The sequence below is a fragment of the Homo sapiens genome, chromosome 14 (genome assembly GCF_000001405.40).
Source record: "Homo sapiens chromosome 14, GRCh38.p14 Primary Assembly".
In the NCBI taxonomy this organism is placed as follows: Eukaryota; Metazoa; Chordata; class Mammalia; order Primates; family Hominidae; genus Homo; species Homo sapiens.
The window spans coordinates 71,942,654-71,963,445 of NC_000014.9; the positions used below are offsets into that span (position 1 = coordinate 71,942,654).

General features: G+C 39.3%; 1 protein-coding gene across 51 annotated transcripts in view, besides 2 other annotated features; it reads left to right on the forward strand.

Moving 5' to 3' along the window:
* The window catches only part of RGS6 (regulator of G protein signaling 6), a 762,695-nt gene that overhangs the window by 75,319 nt on the left and 666,584 nt on the right, over window positions 1-20,792 (forward strand). The window lies entirely within an intron of this gene.
* Window positions 360-439: a silencer, noted in NCBI's record as "silent region_5901". NCBI's record gives its function as "represses an Ori minimal core promoter by ATAC-STARR-seq in GM12878 lymphoblastoid cells {active_cell/tissue: GM12878}" and the evidence as "EXISTENCE:reporter gene assay evidence [ECO:0000049][PMID:35858748]".
* Window positions 1,067-1,278: a silencer, noted in NCBI's record as "fragment chr14:72410437-72410648 (GRCh37/hg19 assembly coordinates)". NCBI's record gives its function as "represses an EF-1alpha promoter that drives an FKBP-Casp9 reporter gene in an ReSE screen in HepG2 liver carcinoma cells {active_cell/tissue: HepG2}" and the evidence as "EXISTENCE:reporter gene assay evidence [ECO:0000049][PMID:32094911]".

The window sequence follows — 20,792 nt, forward strand, 5'->3', positions numbered from 1 at the left end:
AATGTGTATATTTGATAGCTGGGAGATTCTAGCTGGCTGAAATACCCCAGTTAGAACTTTTGATTATCCTTATGTGGCTACCTTTTATATAGAAAATATATCTTTTCCTTCTACTTAGGTGTTAGTAACATAGGGTGGTACCAAGAACCACCATTTTTATGTGTGGTAACTTCAAAAAAAGTGTAAATATTTGGATATGAACAAAATAGATCCTCATTCATTAATAGCTCAGGCTATGCAAATGAATTGTCTTAGAGGCTGTCTTGGCATTTCACAGTAATTTGGTTAAACTATCAAAGAGAAAGCCACCTTTAAATCTGTCCATGGTAGAGTTCACTCATTCACTAGTATCTGCTTGACCCAAGAACCTATTTTCTTGCACACATGGAAGCATGCATTCTACAAAGCCAGCTGAGGTGAGGTCCCCTGCATGAATGAGAGCTGGTGGTGGCACTCCCTTGGAAATACCCCAGGCACCTGTGTTGCTCTCATGAAGACCTGGCTAGTCTGGAGCTCAGACAGAGAACTGCTATTATTTGTTCTTAAAGGAGCACAACAGGCATTTTAAAATCCTGTTAATTGTGTTTCTGAACCTTAGTTTTCTCGTCTGTGAAAGAATAATTTAAAAAATACCCTTTGAGTATGTGTGACCATGAGAATAGAGGACCCTGTATGAAGTATGGGGCATAGAAAGCACAGACACGTAAGAAGATGGGACTGTCACAGCACAGTTCCTGTTTTCTAATAATTTTTAGAGTGAGTCTGTTGAGAAATAAGTGTTTCAGGATAATGGTTCCTCTTTATTTTCTGTTCCTGAGGCATTGCTGTGTTAGTCAAGCATTTGATGGACTCCCAAGTCTCTGAGAATCCTGCTCCATAGTTCTCACATTGGGATTTGAGGAGGCTTGTAGAAAGCAAGTGGCCCACACATCTAAGTGGGAGAAGGCAGCGTGGGCAAGATCTCTGTGGTAGCCAAAGATGCCTCTGTTTCCTGGAGGCGAAAGGCCATTAATCACCAGCAGGAAGAGAAGTGAAAAAGGAGACTGCTGCTGCATTGATAGGGCTTATGCCAGACACACAGAGCAAGCCCATGTTTTTTCTCTGCATCCTTGGGATTTCTTACAGTGCTTGGCACATAGTAGGAGTTTGGTAAATGTTTGCTGAGTTATTGAGTTGCAGAGTGACAGCTGTGGGTGGAGGAGGAAGGATGGGCTAGTATTGGTAGGAATTCATGGACTAGTGGGGGTGCATGGATTGGTATGAGTGTGGATGCAAGGTGCACGTGGTTATAGCCTTCATTCTTATTGCTTGCTTGATTTTGCCTGGCAAGATCCACTTCATATCCATGATATAGTGAGACTGTCATCCTAGTTTCACATTATTGTGTGTCTATTCCATTGGGCTTTGGTCGGTTTGGCTTTTTTGTTTTGTTTTATAATTTATGTTTGTAATTTTATCTCCACCTCTAGCACAAGACCAATACACATAGTAAATGCTTGATAAAAATTCGTTGCCTAAACAAAAACTTGCTCAGCCTACAAAACTATGGGTCCGTCATATGGTTGTGGGCTGATCTTACAAAATAACAATCAGCATTTGTTAAGCTTTTTGCAAATCAAAGTCCTTTAAGAGATGTTGGGTGGTATTATGCCCATTTTATAGATGAGGAAACCGAGTGGAAACGAGGTTCAGTCACTTGCCCTAAGTCAGATAGTCATTGAGGAGCCAAGATTTAAACTCAGATCTTTTCTGACCCCAAAGTCCTTGTGCTGTTTTATATAGCACAAGGTGGGGAATAAACAGAGACCCTACCCTTGAGATCATTTCAGTTGTATTGGAGAGATGATAGGAATAAATAGAAAATTAGCAATAAAAGATGTTAAATGATAGTTTAGGAAAAAATGCAGGGGATTTTGTAAGTCAGATTTGGTAGCAAATAGATGATGAAGACAGTAAGCACATTATAGTTTAGTTCAGAGACAGCATTTTATCATCAGATCTGGAAGAGACAGGCTTCAGGAAATAGGAATAAACTTTAAAGGTGCAAAAAGGGATAATGGCAAAGTTTTCAGATGAAAGGTGTTAATAATACAGTCACGTGTCACTTAATGACCAGGATACATTTGGAGAAATGTATCATTAGGTGATTTTGTTGTTGTGTGAACACCCTAGAGTGTACTTACACAACCTAGATGGTATAGCCTACTGTACACCTAGGCCATGTGGTATAGTGCTCCTAGGCTACAAACTGTGCAGCATGTTACTGTACTGAATACTGTAGGCAATTGTAGCGCAGTGGTGTTTTGTACTTAAATATATCTAAACATGGAAAAGATACAGTAACAATATGGTGTTATAATCTCATGGGACCCCCTTCATGTATGTGGTCCATCACTGACTTGTGGTGCATGACTGTAATTGGTTATTAAAACAATTGTTTGATTTCAGAGTAAGGGCTAATATAAACTCCTTATAGTTAAAGCCATCTCAGACCACCCTAGCTAAAATAATAACTCCTGCCCCTTCTCATTGCTCTTCATTGTCTTACTTGCCCTATTTTTGATCACAGCTTTATCACCATGACATTGCATTATATGTACTTATATATTGTCTGTCTCCCTCTGCTAGAATATACATTCCATAAAAGCAGGGACTCTTTTATTTCCTGTTGTAGATTCAGCATCTGTCACAGATTCTGATTCATACTAATTGTTTAAGAACTATTTGTGAAATGAAGGAAGAAAATGCATTTTAAAAATGAGTTGCAAACTCAAACACTCAATAGACCAGTTAGGTAAAGGAAATGAGGGAAGCAAGTGAGGTTTCTTCCACAATGGTAACAAGTTGTAATTTTTACAAATCAAAAGCATGTTTTGTTTGTACATTACACAGATAGAAAGTTTTTACTCCCAGAAATACATTTATATCTATTTTTCTTGAAATATGGGGTCATCTGACTCATTGTCAAGAGAGACCTGGATACCAAATAAGATTTCCTTTTTTCTAGAAGCAGAACAGCCATCCACGTGTGATGATGAATGGCACCTGACCTTGGATCTCAGGGTTGGGGTTGCATTAGGGACAGGTGGAGAATGTGTTTAAGCGAGAAGTATGTGCTGCTCAGAAAGCCCTGTTGTTGCCAAATTTTAATTCATTTAAAAATTATTAACCAATTTCAATTAGAAAAATATTATGTATATCTACACTGCCCAATCCAAGAGAAACACCTTTTGAGCTGGCTGTATTTTATGGTGTGACCTCTGTAGAAAAAAAAGATTAAATAACATATGCAATATATTTTCTCCTTAAACTTCTATGGAAATGCTACAGTGTTTAGATTCCAAATCAAGCAGGAAGATGCCATTATATTATTTTGCTGACCATACATCCTAATACAAAGACTGATTCAGCAGCTGGTCAAAATAGAAAGGACGCATTCACAAAGAATAAATATATTGATTACATTTTAGACTTTTTTTTAGGTGAAGGGACTTTCATTTTCAGGATAGCAGGTAGTTTAGGGCTTGGCTGTTGGTTTCTGCCGATAGCCAGGGGTATGTGACAGGAGACAAAGTAGCTGAACTCTCTTGATCTGCATTCTTCCCAGTTGCAGAATAGGGCTGAGAAATTGTGATTGCTTTGAGATGGTTACTGAAAGAGAGTGTGTACCTGGAAACAATCTCTGGTTTAGTCAACTATTAATGGGGTTGCGGGGGCGGGATGTTCCGTACCCCAGGTCACAGCTGGCCTGGGGTCTCTGCTGCTCCTCCCCACTCCTTGTCCTGCTGGTCCGTGTCAGACAGTGCATCTATCTTCCTACCAAGGACTCATTTCCAGATAATGATTAATTGGATATGGCTCCTGTGTTCAAGAAACTTAAAATTCTGAAGAAGGAAAACAAATGGAGAGACGGAATGTGGTAAGCAAGGCCTATATATGGAAAGTTAGGGAGAGATGACTTCCTGCTGAGGGATTTCACTGAAGAGGCTAAGTAGATGAATTGGACTTTGGAGGACCTAGAGGTCTGGGGCCTGCAGAAATGGGGCCAGGGGACAGAGATGGCAAGAATGTACTTGGGGCATTTCAATGTAAACAAAATTATACAGGTGATCAAATGCAAGGAATGTGCAAAGAATATTTAATACCCCCCATACAGAGTGAGGTCCTTAAAAACCTTTCTGGCAGGAGGAGTCCGTGTTGATGAACTTAAAACTTTAATGAAAACAAGGATAGGGGAAACCTAGGTTTAAGCAAAACTGTTCAATAAGTATTTGTCATATTTACTGAAAGTAAAATGAGAAAACAAAAGTAGATTATGAGTGACATTTTACTCACCTTATGTTGGTAAGAGCAGTGTGCCACAGTGAATTTCCAGTTACTTCTTGCTGTTTTTCAGGCTGTCAGCCCCCCTTACAGTGAAATGCTTACAGGTAGTTTTGCTTTATTACAGTTAGTGTACAATTCTTATGCACAAGGGCACTCCTCCATGCCAGGCTCACTATACAAATGTTCAATGCCTTTCAGTCAGAGAGGCTGACTGCTGACTCCTGGGTCTCCCTGTGGCTAAAGGGTAAAGTGGATAGATACATCTTGGGGTAAACTTTATTTAACTTAGTTGGCATGACTGATCAGGAAGTCCTCAGATACCTCACCCCCATGCCTAGGGTATTTAGTGTCATGCCAAAGCATATGCTGCCAATTCCAGGTTTTCATTTTTTGGTTTCCTTTAAGCTTTCAAAAGCTTCTCTGCAAAAATCACTTCCGCTGCCTGCCATCTGCCTTAAAACCCCCTCCCCCACTTAAAAAAAATCTGTTTCTAATCCCAAGAGTCTTTTTTGTTGTTGTTTTCGAGACAGGGTCTCACTCTGTTGCCCAGGCTGGATTGCAGTGGCGTGGTGTTGGCTCCCTGCAGCCTTGACCTCCCAGACTCAAGTGATCCTCCCACCTCAGCCTCCCAAGTAGCTGGGACTACAGGCGTGTGCCACCACTCTGAGCTAATTTTGTGTTTATTGTAGAGACAGGGTTTCATCATATTGCCTAGACTGGTGCGAGATTCTTATATTTTCTAATTATTCTTAAAATGACCAATTGACTATCAAAAATGTATTTGGAAATAGGTATAAGTTGAACTTTGCTTATTGGGAATTCTTGGTTGGGGGAGTTTTCTGTAGTTGAGATTACCATGTTGTTGGGTATATGAAGATGAACAGTGACGGATAAAACTAGAAGTGCAAGTTGAGGCCAGTGTGCGAAGGAACTTGAATGCCATATAATAGTGTTGATAGTGATGGGGATTTAGTCTTCTCTCTGATGCAGACTAAACAAAAAAATACCAATAACCCAACTGAACTGAAGCAAAATCCAAGTATCTCGAGCAGAAATAAATTTATCTGACCACATAATCTGAGAATTCAGGCTTAGCTGGATCCAGGGACTTAGATGATGTGGTCAGCACTCTTACTCAACACCTTGTCTTCTTGACTTCCTCCTTCTATGGCACGAGAGAAGAAGAAGATGGTCACTAATATTTCTACCCTCACATCTTTTCAACAGTCACCTCACAGGGGAGGAATCTTCTTTCTTCCAGCGTCCTTATCTCAGTCTCAGGGAAGGACTTTGGTCCTGATTAGTCACATGTCTACGATGGTTCGATCTGTGTGTCTGATAATGAGGCATACTCTGGCCAGGACAGTCCACAGTGGTAACAGACACAACCTCTGGCTCCTTCATCATCCCTGCAATTATAACCCTGCCATGATGTCATTTTTTGCATCACTGTATGTGAGAGGGCTGCAATGCCACCTTGAGAACCCAATATGCTGCATCCTTCCTCCAGATCTGCATTTATTTGCACTATTCTTTTTCAAACATACAGTTCTACTGAAGTATAACATATTTACAGAAAAGTATTCAAATCATTGTTCAATAAATTTTCAAGCAGTAAACACATCCATGTTATCTCTCTGAGATCAAGAAAGAGAATATTACCGTTCTTCCAGAAACCACCTCATGGGCCCTCCCAGTAAGTACATATTTCTTTTTTCCCATTGGTAACTGCTAAGCTGATTTCCTTTCTCTCTCTCTCTCTTTTTTTTTTTTTTTTTTTTTTTTTTAAAGAGATGAGGTCTCACTGTGTTGCCCAGGATGGCCAGGAACTCCTAGGCTCAAGCAGTCCTCCCACTTCAGCCTCTCAAGTAGCTACCACTAACCTGATTTCTAACACTGTAACTTTCTCTTTTTTGAAACAAATGAAATAAATATGAAATCATACATATATGCCTGTACACTTTCTTTCTAGATCCTTATGCACAACATTGTTTGTGAAATTCATCTATGTTGCAATGTGTAGCAGTAGACTATTTTTATTACTATATAGTATTCTACTTTGTGATATTCCACAAACTATTCATCTACTGTTGAGGGACATTTGGGATATTTCTAGGTTAGACATATGAATAGTGCTGCTATGAATATTTTTGTATGTGTTTTGTGACACACATATGAATGTGTTTCTGTTTGATATACACACCTAAGACTGGATTGCTGGGCCATGGGGTGTGCATATGTTCAGCTTTATTCGATCCTTACAAAGAGTTTTCTTAAGTGGCTGCACCAATTTATATTCCTATCATCAGTTCATGAGTGTTTCAGTTTCTTTATATCATTGGTAAGACTTGAGATTGTTAAATGTTTGAATTTTAGCCATTCTGGTGGGTGCGTAGTGATGTCTTATTATGGCTTCAATTTGCATTTTTCTGGTGACTGATGATGATGTGCCTTTTTAATTTTTTTTTGCCACTTTTATTTGTCTTTTGCAGTGCCTATTCAAGCTTATTGCCTATTTTAAATTAGATTTTTAATCTTTTTCTCATTGAGTTGTAGAAATCTTCTTTTAAAAACAAATTTTTAATACAAATACTTTTGCCTGTCATATGTATTTAAAATATCTTTTCCCGGCTCTAGTGGTTTGCCTTTCACTCTCTTTTGATGAATTGGAGATCTCACTTTGAATATAATCTAACTTATCAGTCTCTTTCTTTATGGTTATTGTTTCCTGTGCCTACTTAAGAAATTGTTGCCTACCCTAAGGCTATGAAGCTACTCTGTTTTAATTTATAGAAGCTCTATTTTTTTTTTTTTTTGCCTTTTAGCCTTTTATCTTTAGGTTGTAAAAATCTACCTGTGGATGATTGTTGTTTGTGGTGTGATAAAGGCATCCGTATTTGTTTTGTTTTACTTATGGATATCCAATAAACCCAGCACCACTTATTGAAAAATCTCTTCATTTCTACTACTCTGAAATGTCACCTTTGTTATCAGTCACATTTGTGGTCTGTCTCTGTGTTTTCTAGTCCATTCCATTTTTCTATTTCTCTAATATAATATTGATAACGCACTGTCTTAATTACGTGAGCTTTATAGGAGGTCTTGATATTCAGTAGTGTGCACCCTCTAGTTTGTTCTTATTTAAGAATAACTTCTAAAGAACAAAGCTGGAGGCATCACTCTACCTGACTTCAAACTATACTACAAAGTGACAGTCACCAGAACAGCATGGTATTGGTACAAAAAACAGACACATAGACCAATGGAACAGAATAGAGATCTCAGAAATAAGACTGCACATCTACAACCATCTCATCTTCCACAGACATGACAAAAACAAGCAATGGGGAAAGGATTTAATAAATGGTGCTGGGAGACATGGCTAGCTATATGCAGCAAACTGAAACTGGACCTCTTCCTTACACCTTATCCAAAGATTAACTCAAGATGGATTAAAGATGTAAAGTAAAACCAAAAACTATAAAAACCCTAGAAGAAAATCTAGGCAATACCATTCAGGACATAGGCACAGGCAAAGATTTCATGACAAAAACATCAAAAGCAATTGCAACAAAAGCAAAAATTGAGAAATGAGATATAATTAAGGAGCTTCTGCATAGCAAAAGAAACTATCATCAGAGCGAACAGGCAGCCTACAGAATGGGAGAGAATTTTTGCAACCTATCCACCTGACAAAGATCTAATATCCAGAGTCTACAAGGAACTTAAATTTATGAGCAAAAAACAACCCAATTAAAAAGTGGGCAAAGGACTTGAACAGACACTTGTCAAAAGAAGACATTTATGTGGCCAGCAAACATGAAAGAAAAGATTAACATCACTGATCATTAGAGAAATGCAAATCAAAACCACAGTGAGATACCATCTCACACCAGTCAGAATGGTGATTATTAAAAATTCAAGAAACAACATGCTGGCGAGGCTGAGGAGAGAGAGAAATGCTTTTACATTGTTGGTGGGAGTGTAAATTGGATCAACCATTGTGGAAGACAGTGTGGTGATTCCTCAAAGACCTAGAGGCAGAAATACCATTTGACCCAGCAATCCCATTACAGGGTATCAACCTAAAGGAATATAAATCATTCTGTGATAAAGATACATGCATGTATGTGTTCATTGCAGCACTTTTCATGATAGCAAATACATGGAATCAACCCAAATACCCATCAATAATAGACTGGATAAAGAAAATATGGTAATATACACCATAGACTACTATGTGGCCATAAAAAGGAACGAGATCATGTCCTTTGCAGGGTCGTGGATGGAGCGGAAATCCATTATCCCCAGCAAACAAACGCAGGAGCAGAAAACCAAACACTGCATGTTCTCACTCATAAGTGGGAACCAAACAATGAGAACCTGTAGAGAGAGGGAGGGGAAAAACACCTGAGGCCTGTTGGGGATGGGGGGATGGGGAGAGGGACAGCATCAGGAAAAATAGCTAATACATGCTGGGCTTAATACTTAGGCGATGGGTTGATAGGTGCAGCAAACCATCATGGCACACGTTTACCTATGTAACAAACCTGCACGTCCTGCACATGTACCCCAGAACTTAACATAATATATAATTAAAAAGAATAGCTTCATTATTTCTAACCATTTGCATTACTGTATAAATTTTAAAGTCATCTTCTGATGGGATTTTGATTGGGATTGCATTAAATCTCTAGCCTAAATTGGGAGTAAATTAATGTTTTTACAGTGTTGGCTATTTTAATCCATTAATATGGAATATCCCTTCCTTTATTTAGATCTGTCTCTCACGTCTGTCAGCATTTTTGTATCCCTCTATATTGTAAAATTATTGCACATCTTTTAAATATATATTCCTAGTATTTGAAATTATTCGATGCTATTATAAATAATACCTTTAAAAATATATCATTTTCTGATTGTTGCTGATATACAAAAAATACAATTGAGTTTTATATATTGACCTTGTATTCATTGACTTTGCTAAATTCACTGAATCCTAATAGTTCTGTGTATTAGGTTGGTGCAAAAGTAATTGCATTCATAAATTATTATGAATTTCCATGTACACAGTTAAATTACTTGTAAAAGAGTTATTACTTTTACCTTTCTAATTATCACGACTTGTATTTGTTTTTCTTGCCTGTTGTATAGGCTAAGACCTCAAATATAATGGTGAATAGAAGTGGTGATAGTGAGCATTCTTGTCTAATTTCCAATCTCAGTGGGAAAGTTTTCCATGTTTTACTATTAAATATTATTAAATATTTCTGTAAGTGTTTTACAAATACCGTTTATCAGATCAAGCAAGCCCCCTTACATTTAAAATTGGCCAAGAGTATTTTCATGAAGAGGTGTTGAATTTGATTAAATGCCTTAAAGCCATAATTGCACAGAATAGCGGGCTCACCTCTGTACTTCCTTTTTCTCTTGGATCATGATCCCATGTGTCCTCATTGCCTTGGGAGCTCTTCTTTTTATACCATATCTACCTTTCTAGATTTTCTTGAGGGTTGGACTGTTACAAGTTAGATCATCATTGTAGGAATTGGTACTGTAAATTCAAATTGTACTATTTTTGTCTGCCATCTACACGGTATGAGTAAAACTGTAAAACCCCCGAGAACCTATTCAATTGTTATTTCTTTGATCTATATTGCTTTTGGCTGGTAAGCTTTATGAAAAGATTTTCTTTTGTTAAATTTTGCTATCTTAAGAGGAAAAGTCTACCATTGCTGCTACAAATGGAGGCATTATGGAGTCATTGAAAGGGTGCACCTTATATTACATTTAAATGCCATGTTTTACATATAAACATACTGATTTTACCTGTTCCTTTTTAAAAAAGAAAGAAAACAATGAAATCCCAAGGAATAAAACTGACATTCTTTAAAAAAGAAAAAGCCAATAGGAGTGCTTTTCTTCTTAGGTCCCCTGGGAACATGTCATCCTCTTCATCTCTTAGTCATCCACTTCTTGTGTATAAAAATTGGCAACGCTTCTCTGTCACTCCCACTTCTTCTCTAGCAGTGATACAATCTTTCATGCGAAATAAGAGAATAATAAAATGTTATTTCTGCAGTCCCAATAGTCAGTAGTATTAGAAACTATAATCTTGGAACCCATACTTAACAAAATATAAGCCCTCTCATGTGAGAAGAGAGGGAAGACCCAAGCTCTAAATGCTGACTCATTGCTAACCAGGAGGGTGGCATTAGAACGCAACTTGACCTTCCCAGGTCTTAGTGCCATCCTCTGAAAACCAAAGGCTTGGACTTGTTCAAGGGACAGAAAAAATTGTAATGTAAAGGGCTAAATAGTAAATATTTTGAGTTCTGTGGGCCATACAGTCCCTGTTACAACAACTCAATTCTGCTGTTGTGGCACAGAAGTGATCATAGACAATAAGTAAACAAATGGGCATTTATTTATAAAAGTGTATTTATGGACACAAACTCAAATTTCATACAATTTTCATGTGTCATAAAATACTGTTCTTTCAACTTTTTTTTCAAGCATCTAAAAATGTAAAAACAATTCTTAGCAAAGAGATCATATAAAAAGAGGTAACAGGCTTAGATTTGTCCCATGGGCCCAAGTTTACCAACCTTTGAGTCAGTTAAATTGTCAAGGGCTGTTCCAGAGCTCTGTGTTAGGCATTCATATGCTAGCCTTTTAAAAAATATTTTTTTTGTCCTATGAACATTATTCAAAAGGGTCTATTTTTTTCTTTTAGACCAATTATGAATAAGAAAAATACAATATGTTGTTTTTACCTTTATTCCTTCATCAGTGCTTGTTCTTTCTTTTTAGAGATCCAAGTTTCTGACCTGTATAATTTTCCTCTGCCTGAAGAACTTCTTTTTGCATTTCTTGCATAGCAGGTTTGCTGGTGATAAATTTCCTCAGTTTTTGCTTGTCTGTGAAAGTCTTTATTTTTTCTCCACTTTTGAAGGATAATTGCACTAGATGTAGAATTCTAAGTGGGCGTTTTTTTTTTTTTTTTTTTCCTTCAACATTTTAAGTATTTCACTCCACACTCTGGCTTGCATGGCTTCTGTAATTCTTATCCTCATTCTTCTATAGGTAAGGAATCTGGCTTCTTTTAAGATTTCCTCTTTGTCTTTGGTTTTCTGCAGTTTGAATATGATATACCTAGATGTAGTTTTTCTTTTTTTGGGTGTTTGTCCTGATTGGTGTTTACTGACTTTTCTGGATCTGTGATTTATTGTATGTCATTAATTTTGGAAAGTTCTCCGTCATTATTCCTTCTAATATTTCTTCTCCTTTCTTTCTTCTCTTCTTGGAATTCTGATTACATTTATGTTACAGCTTTTTATATTGTTCTATAGTTCCTGAATATTCTGCTCTGGTTTTTTTCCTCCCTTAATTCTCTCTCTCTTTTTAGTTTGGAAATTCATGATTGACTTTCAAGCTCATGGAGTCTTAAAAAATTTCTTAAATTTTTAATTTTTATGGGTACATATGTGTATACTTATGGGGTACATGAGATATCTTGATACAGGTATGCAATGCATAATAACCACATCATGGAAAATAGGGTGTCCATCCCCTCAAGCATTTCTCCTTTGTGTTACAATCCAATTACACTCTTTTAGTTATTTTAAAATGTACAATTGAGTTGTTGTTATTGACATTAGTCACCCTCTTGTGCTATCAAATGGTAGGTCTTACTCTTCTTGGCCATTTGAGTCTGCTGATGAGCCCATGGAAAGCCTTCTTCATTTGTTACAGTGTTTTTGATTTTTAGCATTTCCTTTTCAAAGGAGTTTTAAAAAAATGTTTCCTTCTCTCTGGTTTCATTACCATTTACTTTCTCCATTAGAATCCTTAACATTTTTCATCATAGTTATTTTAAATTTCCTATCTGTTAATGACACAGATAATTCCAACATCCGTGACATATCTGAGTCTGATTCTGATGATTGCTTGTCTCTTCAGAATGTGTTTTTCTTACCTTTCACCATGCGTTGTAATTTTTTGTTGAAAGCCAGACATGATGTGTTGGGTCATAGGAACTGAGGTAGGTAGGCACTTAGTGTGAGGTTTTACTTAATCTGGCTAGGAGTTGGGTTGTGTTTAGTGTTTGCTGAGCTGTAGGTGCTAGAGGCTTCAAATCCCCCCAAGGGTCCTTGTTTTTGTCTCCTCTCTTGACTTTAGGTTTCCCTAACTACTATTCCTCAGGGACGCTGTGTCTTGGAAGTCTTTTATCTGTAATCCACTGTTACACCTGAGCCCGGCTGGTGTGGTGGTAGGGCATATGTGAGCAGTAATGTTCTATTAACCATCTAATTAAGAGCAAGGATGGAATAACTTCCCTTTGGTAAATGGTAACGTTACAGGAAAGGGGTCCCAATCCAGACCCCAAGAGAGGGTTCTTGGATCTCACGCAAGAAATAATTCGGGGCAAGTCCGTAGAGTAAACTGAAAGCAAGTTTATTAAGAAAGTAGAGGAATTAAAGAATGGCTACTCCATAGATAGAGCAGCCCTGAGGGCTTCTGGTTGCCCATTTTTATGGCTATTTCTTGATTATATGCTAAACAAGGGGTGGATTATTCTTGACTCCCCTTTTTAGGCCATATAGGGTAACTTCCTGATGTTGCCATGGCATTTATAAACTGTCATGGCGCTGGTGGGAGTGTAGCAGTGAGGACAACCAGAGGTCACTCTAATCACCATCTTGGTTCTGGTGGGTTTCAGCTGGCTTCTTTAGTACACCCTGTTTATCAGCAAGGTCTTTATGACCTGTATCTTATGCCGACCTCCAGTCTCATTCTGTGACTTAGAATGCGTAACTCTCTGGGAATGCAGCCCAGTAGGTCTCAGCCTCATTTTACCCAGCCCCTACTCAAGATGGAGTTGCTCTGGTTCAAATTCCTCTGACAGAAAAACTTTCCCCCATAAGAAAAAGGAAGATGGAGAACATGGTGGCTTCAGTGAGGGTGTCTGAAGATGAGGGACTTGCCTTCTGCTGGCTTCCATTTCTTCCATGAATTTTGAAGTGAGCTCATCAGCTAAGACTATGTGTTAAATATGAGCTGGGAAAAGATATGACATAGCCATCTCAGAAAGGGAGAAACAAGCTTGGTAGGAAAACATTTTGGGTTTGGCAGGCAGTGTTGACTATTCATTTAATGTTTGTGGCCATGAATTTAATGCAGCTAGTCAGCCTGGTTGTGTGACTTCCTCTCCATCCCAAAGTGTTCATCTGTTTGGATGGGAGCTTGGGGTTGGTGGATAGTTGGGTTCCATCAGTGTTGGAATTTGGTAAGGATAGTGTGACACAGAAAGGGGGTGTATTAGTGTTCCCTAGAGGGACAGAACTAATAGTGTGTGTGTGTGTGTGTGTGTGTGTGTATATTCTATTTTTATATATACAATAGTATATATATAACAGTGTGTGTGTGTATATATATGTAGGAGTTTATTAAGTATTATCTTACATGATCACAAGGTCCCACAAGAGGCTGTCTACAAGCTTGAGGAAGAAGGAGAGCCAGTCCGAGTCTCAAAACTGAAGAACTTGTAGTCCCAAGTTTGAGGGCAGGAAGCATCCAGCAAGGGAGAAAGATGTAGGCTGGGAGGCTAGGTCAGTCTCACCTTTTCATGTTTCTCTGACTGCTTTATATTTGCTGGCAGCTGATTAGATTGTGCCCACCAGATTAAGGGTGGGTCTGCCTTCCCCAGCCCACGGACTTAAATGTTAATCTCCTTTGGCAACACCCTCACAGACACACCCAGGATCAATACTTTGCATCCTTCAATCTAATCAAGTTGACACTCAGTATTAACCATCACAAGGGGAGATGCAGGAGTAGAGGGTATGTGCAAGGGAGTGATTATGAGTGAGTATAATGATGGAGCCAGTGTGAATAGTGAAGGTGAAGCGAAGGGTAGGAATGGATAGTAAAAGTGCTGTGTGTTCAATGGATTAAATGTCTAAATAAGTTTGAAGATTGTTTGCAGTGAATGCAGAGTAAGTAAGTGAGCTGAACAGAGGAAGGGTGGACAGAGTGGAGGATGCTTGTAGTGGGATTTGAGGTGATGACAAAGTTTAGGATGTGGCCATGTGAGATAGTGACTCAGAAGGAAAAAGCTTCAGGTGAGGAAATAAGGAACTGAGAAACTGGCTTTTCTGGTAGGTCTTTGACTCTGATGTTAAAGTCACTGAAAGTGGTGAAGGTGTTAGGGAAGCAGAAGAAACCCTCTGAGAGGCGGAAGCTGGAGTCTTCAGGGAATGAGAAGGCATAAGCAGGAGGGAGGTGAAAAACAGCAGTGAGGATGAGCAGAAAGTGGCAGAGCCAGATGGCCTGAGTGCCACAGAGCAGGGATTTGTGTTGGAGGGAGGGAGGGAAATCATTTGAAGGAGCGGTGGAGAGCCAGGAGGCTGCCTGCCCTACTCCCTGGTCTTCAGATATATGACGTGAGGACAGAGGGCTGTAGGAGAGGAGAAGGCAAGTTTCCATTAAGGTCACAGAAGGTTAAAGTTCAGAGAGGAGATGGAAGGACATAGTGGGCATACTATTTACAGAAATGTTGAAAGGGTGGGATGAGTCTGTGGGGAGTCGGAGGGGTTGGGGTTTCCAGAGCAGCGTGGAGTTCAGAGCCCTGGTGAGAGAGGATGACTGGGTAGACCTGGCTTTCCAGCAGAGATTGCAGTAACAGGACTCCCAGGGCCAGCATGCCCTGTTACATGGCTATCTTTCCACTTCTCCCTCCTAGCTTAATTTTTAGAAACTTTAACAGATGGAATGCAAAATTTTTATTTTTATTTTTACTTCAGAGATCAGTCCTCACCCTGTCGCCCTGGCTGGAGTGCAGTGGTGTGATCATAGCTCAGTGTAGCCTCCAACTCCTGGGCTCAAGTGATCCTCCCACATCAGCCTCCCGAGTAGCTGAGACTACAGGCAACGCACCACCATGCCTGGCTAATTTTTGTATTTTTTTGTAGAGATTGGGTCTTGCTATGTTGCCCAGGCTGGTCTTGAACTCCCAGGTTTAAGCAATCCTCATGCATGCATATATATATATATATGCAGCTTTGATAATTTAATTAGTTTAGCCTGTCAGGCAGCTGTGATAGTGTAGAGAACGTTGTATTTATTTGTAAGTCTTAAGGTAGGATTGGAATGGAGAAGTCAACTTCACTGAAAACTAGCAAGTAGAATGAAGGAAACACAGATTAGTTGAGGACCTACTATGTTCCAGGCTTTGTGCCAAACATCTACTTTATGTAGGTGATTTCACAAGATGGACATGTTGGAAAAACTGTGGGCATTGGAATCAGTCCTGGGTTTGAATTTTAGTTGCTTGGCTGACAAACTGTGTTACTTTGGGCAAGTTACCTGTGCTCTTCAGTCTTACTTTTCTCATCCATAGCGTGGGAATAATAACATCCACCTGTTGTGGTTGCTGTAATGAGCTGTGCAAGAAATTCTAATCAGCAGGCCGGGCTGAGAACCACTGCTGCAGAGTGATTAGCATTTGTTCCATTTTATAGGTGAAGAAACTAAGGCCCAGTGGGGCTAAATATGTTGCTTACGGCCACACAGCACTTAAATGATATAGCCAGGATTGAAAGCCAGTTTTTTTTGACCCCAGAACCTTGTTGTATCCATTTCATTGAGTTTTTGCCTTAATACATGGGAAGCTAAAGGAGCCCCCCCATTAGCATGTCTGCCCAAACATCAGGCAGCATGGGATGGGAGGAAGGGATCAAGTGAAGGGAAGGCAGGCTCCATGGAATCTAGGTCAGCGGTTTCCAAACCTGGCTGTACTTACAAATCATCTGGAAAATGGTTAATCTGTAAATCTCCAGGGACCACCCTAGGCCTATTGGATCAGAACTTCTGGAGCATGGGAACCGGGAGTATGTATATTTAGAATATCTCCCAGGTTATTCTGAGACTGCTAGCCTAGTTCCGGTCCTTGGGCAAGTTTTTGGGAACCACTGAATTCTAATCGATGTCCTAAAATGATTAAGTGATTATATCCCAGTAAAATACTGGGTGTCTTCCAGTGCCACCAAAATTGGCCTTTAGGGGTTGAGTGCTATTGCCGTACTTTAAGATCTTGGTGCATTACCTGAAACGGACACTCTGTCTGTCATTGAACATTTGAACTTCGAATATATAGGAAATGTCAAGTTGGCATACTCTGCTATAACAGGAAGAGTGATTTGTTATTTAGAGCTGTTGTTCTTCCTTCTTTCCCCTTGGGATTCCTGCCCACTCAGTCAGATTAGAGCTATATAAACAAGCTCGTACTACTGAGCTAGCACACATCTTGTAAATTTTTTTTCCTGAAGTGCTTAACGTTGCTGATGTCAGAAAAAAAAAATCCATTGGGTTTTAATGGGCTGAGGCAAACAATGAGAATTTGATATAATATGGAGGAGAGGAAATAACTTCAACAGAAATTCTTATTTGGCAGCATAAATATTCAAACTATATTACAGTCAGAGTTTGATTGCTTCTCCTACATGGCATTTCCCTGAATAGGGTTTTGAGGGCTGGGCACTAAGAGTGGCAGGCATGATGTTTAAAGCATTTAGTTGCAAGCCATGGTAATTTCAGTGACATTGTAGGGTAATTGTAGTTGGTTCTCCTCTTAGCTCTGTGTCAGGATCACCTGAGGAGGTTGTTGGACCGCTGAAGGCTTCATCTCTGATGCACGAGTCAGAACATCTGAGGGTGGGGGTTGGGGTGGGATTCTCCATTGAATCTGATGCCAGTGGCCTGGGAATTTCACTTGGCCAAACCCTGGCTTAGAACAAGGTCACTGGTCAGTTTCGATATTCATTCTGTGCTGGGGCATTTCCATGACTTAGTGTCTTCCCTCTTCAAAAGCAACCCTGCGTGATGGAGGGGTCTCATCTTCCAGGCAAGGAGCTGGAAACGTAGGGTGGGAGAGCCCATTGTCAAAGGCCACATAGTAGCCTTAATGAGGCTAGAGCTGAGATGTGATTCCCAGTCTGACTTCAAAGCCCTTCCTTTTCCTATACCATCGAGGCCCTTCCTTCCTGCTCTGCTCAACATTGTTAGCTGCCGAACCCTAGGCTTTGCTTGTTCCAGAGGGGCTGGCATTATAAAGTAAACAGCAGGCATTTATTGTAACTGCAAGTTACAGATGCAGTGTCAGTTTGGAGTAGACTTGCAGGCACAATCCTGACTTTCAATGATTCACGAATCTGTTTGTGTCACAGGTGCTCAATTGTCCTATTATGCATAGAGCATCCCCTTCACTATATTTTCTTCCCTCACCACATATTCCTTCTTACCTAAATTGCTTATGAATTCCAGAAGTGGATTGCTGAGTCCAGGCTGGTTCATATCAATAAACCTTGGGGAAAATCTTTATGTGTGATGCTATACATGGGTCTTTGTTGATCAAGAGTCTTCTTTATTGGCCACTTTTAATGGCTTGTTATCCAGATGAATCTTCTGGAAGGAGGACACTGCATCCTGGTGGAATTTTATCAGTTCCATCATTCATTCAAACATATTTAAGTACCTTCTATGTGCCAGGTTCTGCTCTAGGTGCCAGGGAGAGAGGGGTGAACCCCAACGATAAAGTCCCTGCCTATGAAGAACTGACTTTCTAGAGAGGAAGTCCCTGATAGACAAGTAAACAAAGTCCCGCAGATTCAGATAGTTGCGAATCCCTGTTATCTCACTCTCCACACTTGGCTGTCTCCCACTTAATCTTTCTGGGATCAGATTATCTTTGTGGCTTTTTTCTCTTGACTGTCTAGCACAAAGCTGAGCCGCTTCTGGGGCTTCAGATTTCTATGCCTGTGTGTGTGCATAGCCTTGGCTGGAATGGCAAACTTTGCCTCTCCCAGGCTTCTGCTCATCTGTCACCTCCTCCTACTCTGTGCCATCATAATTGAGCAACCACATATTACAGTGTCCTTTCTGTGAACACATCTGTTATTCCTACCGGTCTCTGAACATTTTAAGGAGAGGATCTGTGTCTGACTTATCTGTATATCCCCAGGGCCTAGCATGGAACCTTACAAAAGTAGATGCTCAGTATATTTGCTCAAAGAATAAATGATGAGTTCCAAAGAACCTGAGGGTGGGTGGTGTGGTATAGGAATTCCGTCATGGGGAGGGATGCTGAGTCAGATGGGGGATGCTCCACCGCAGTGGTTTTGTGATTTATTCTTTGAGACATTGAGTGCTGTCATGAATAGAGGAGATGGGCTGGGATATAGGCAGTATTGACAGAGACACGTGGCATGGAACATTCTGGTGAGAACCTTTGAAGGAAAGTTAGAAATGTGAGGTTCTGAGGGTCTAGCTCAGAGCTGGAAGGAACTCTAAGGTTGCTGGATTTTATAGCCAATGCCCAACTGAGGTCCAGGGAAGCTGTGTGTCCTGGTTCTGATAGTTGGTTAGTTGCAAAGGAGCTAGGGGTGGGGTGATACCAGGACTCCTAGTTCAGAGGGCTTTCCACTATGCTGGGGCTATGGTGTGTGACAGATAACAGATTAAAGGCACAGAGAGGAGAAGGAACTTGCCTAAGATCACACAGCTAGGAAGTGGTGGAGCCTGGATTTGGACATGGATCTGTCTAATGAGAGGCATCTTGTAACCATCAAGCTGTATTGTCTCTTCTTGAAGACTGTGAAATGCAAGGTCCTAGCCCATTTTCAGTTTTCCTCTTGGGTTAGCTGTGAGTCCATATAGGAAAATAATATTAACATGCTTTCTTTCTTTTGGTATGCAGTTACATGTTTTCAGAAAAATGTTCACATTCTTCAAATGTTAATATTGAAGCCCCTGGGTTGTTTACTGTGTGTATATATATGTATATATAAGTACAATGAAGAACATTCTGTTTTTCTCTACCACTAAATTTAAACCCATTTCTATTGTACTCCATTTAAAAGAAGTATTTTACATCATACTATAATGAATGAAAACCTAGTCCTTTAATTTCACAAGCCCCAGCTTTAATAGTCAATGAATTTAATTAGAAAATCTTTACCTATGTAGGTTTCACATCCAGTTCTCTATAACATCTGTTGACCTATGGACTAGAAAGTATATTATTATTTTAGAAATGATTCTTTCTAGACACAGGAAAGCTAAATAGCTTGTCTGAGTTTCAAAACGAGTTAATAGAGGAACCAAAAATAGAAACATTTCTACTGAATACGAGGCTTACTAAAATTCTTCACACAGAGACTATCTGCATTCACTTAGTAGTTTCCAGTCTAGACTCTGGAACATCAGCCTGTTTTAACACACACAAATGCTTCTGTTGGTGGGAGGGGGTGGCTGGGCAGAGGGAGGCCGGGCAGAGGGAGGCCTGACACGTTTGTTTCTAGGTCATTTCTAACCTTGCTATTATAATACAGTTTTCTAGATAGAAGAGAATGTGCTCATTAAAGTGTTCATTTTAAAATAAAGCGACAGAAACTTAAAACGTCTCTATTACATGGATACATGAGTATATATAAATGAACTCAATTTTTGTTTTCATGCTCTGTTGTATTCTGTATTAAGGCAAAGGAGTAGGCAACTAAGTAGTTGTTTAAAAATAAAACTGTGTGTTGTTCATTTAATTTTAAAAGCCATTGGTTAGAATGGTAATCAGTGTTTCCATGTAGTACTATATTCATAGAAATCCTGATATTACAGTGTATAGAGATAATATTATAGAATGATGCTCTTTACCTCTTTATGTAATCTAATTTTAAAAAACATTGTAATTTATAAATAGTGAAGAAAGCAGGTAGTGTTATTCGAATGGGATATTTTCGGCAATTAAATTCTTAGCATAAATTACAAATTCCTCTCTCTCCCATTTTCCACCCAAATTTGTTTTTATGGAATGACCTTTGGTAGCAACTTGTTTTATAATAAAATGTTTCCTGAATTTGTATTTTGAATTGAAATGGCCTTTTCTGTCACGTATGGTATTTATAAGAGTTTCTTTGATGAAAAGCCTCTGAATTTTGTGCAAATAACCCAGGCAGCCTCTTAGATGAGGGATAACATTTGTATAGGACTTTTATGGCTTTATACTCTGCTCTCATACTCAGCTTATTTGACCCTTACCTGCGGGGAACTTGGTGGAATTCACATTTTACTGCTGAGGACAATGTAGAGGAAGGTGCCTTGGCATGACTCAGAGCATATAGCAGGTGTTTGGTATGTTTGTTTTAAAGGGAAATTAACAAAAGAAACCCAAAAGATTCTTGTACTTGCTCAAGGTCACACAATAAATATAGTGTCATACCAAGGATTGAACTTCCTTCTTCACTCAAAACTTCCATATACTTGTTCTTATCTCACTGTTATCTTTTCAGGCTTTTCAAAAAGGCCACATTAAATATATTTATTTTTCTTAATTGAGGTGAAATTCACATAACACAAAATTAGCCATCTTAAAGTGTATAATTCAGTGGCATTTCATGCTTTCACAGTGTTCT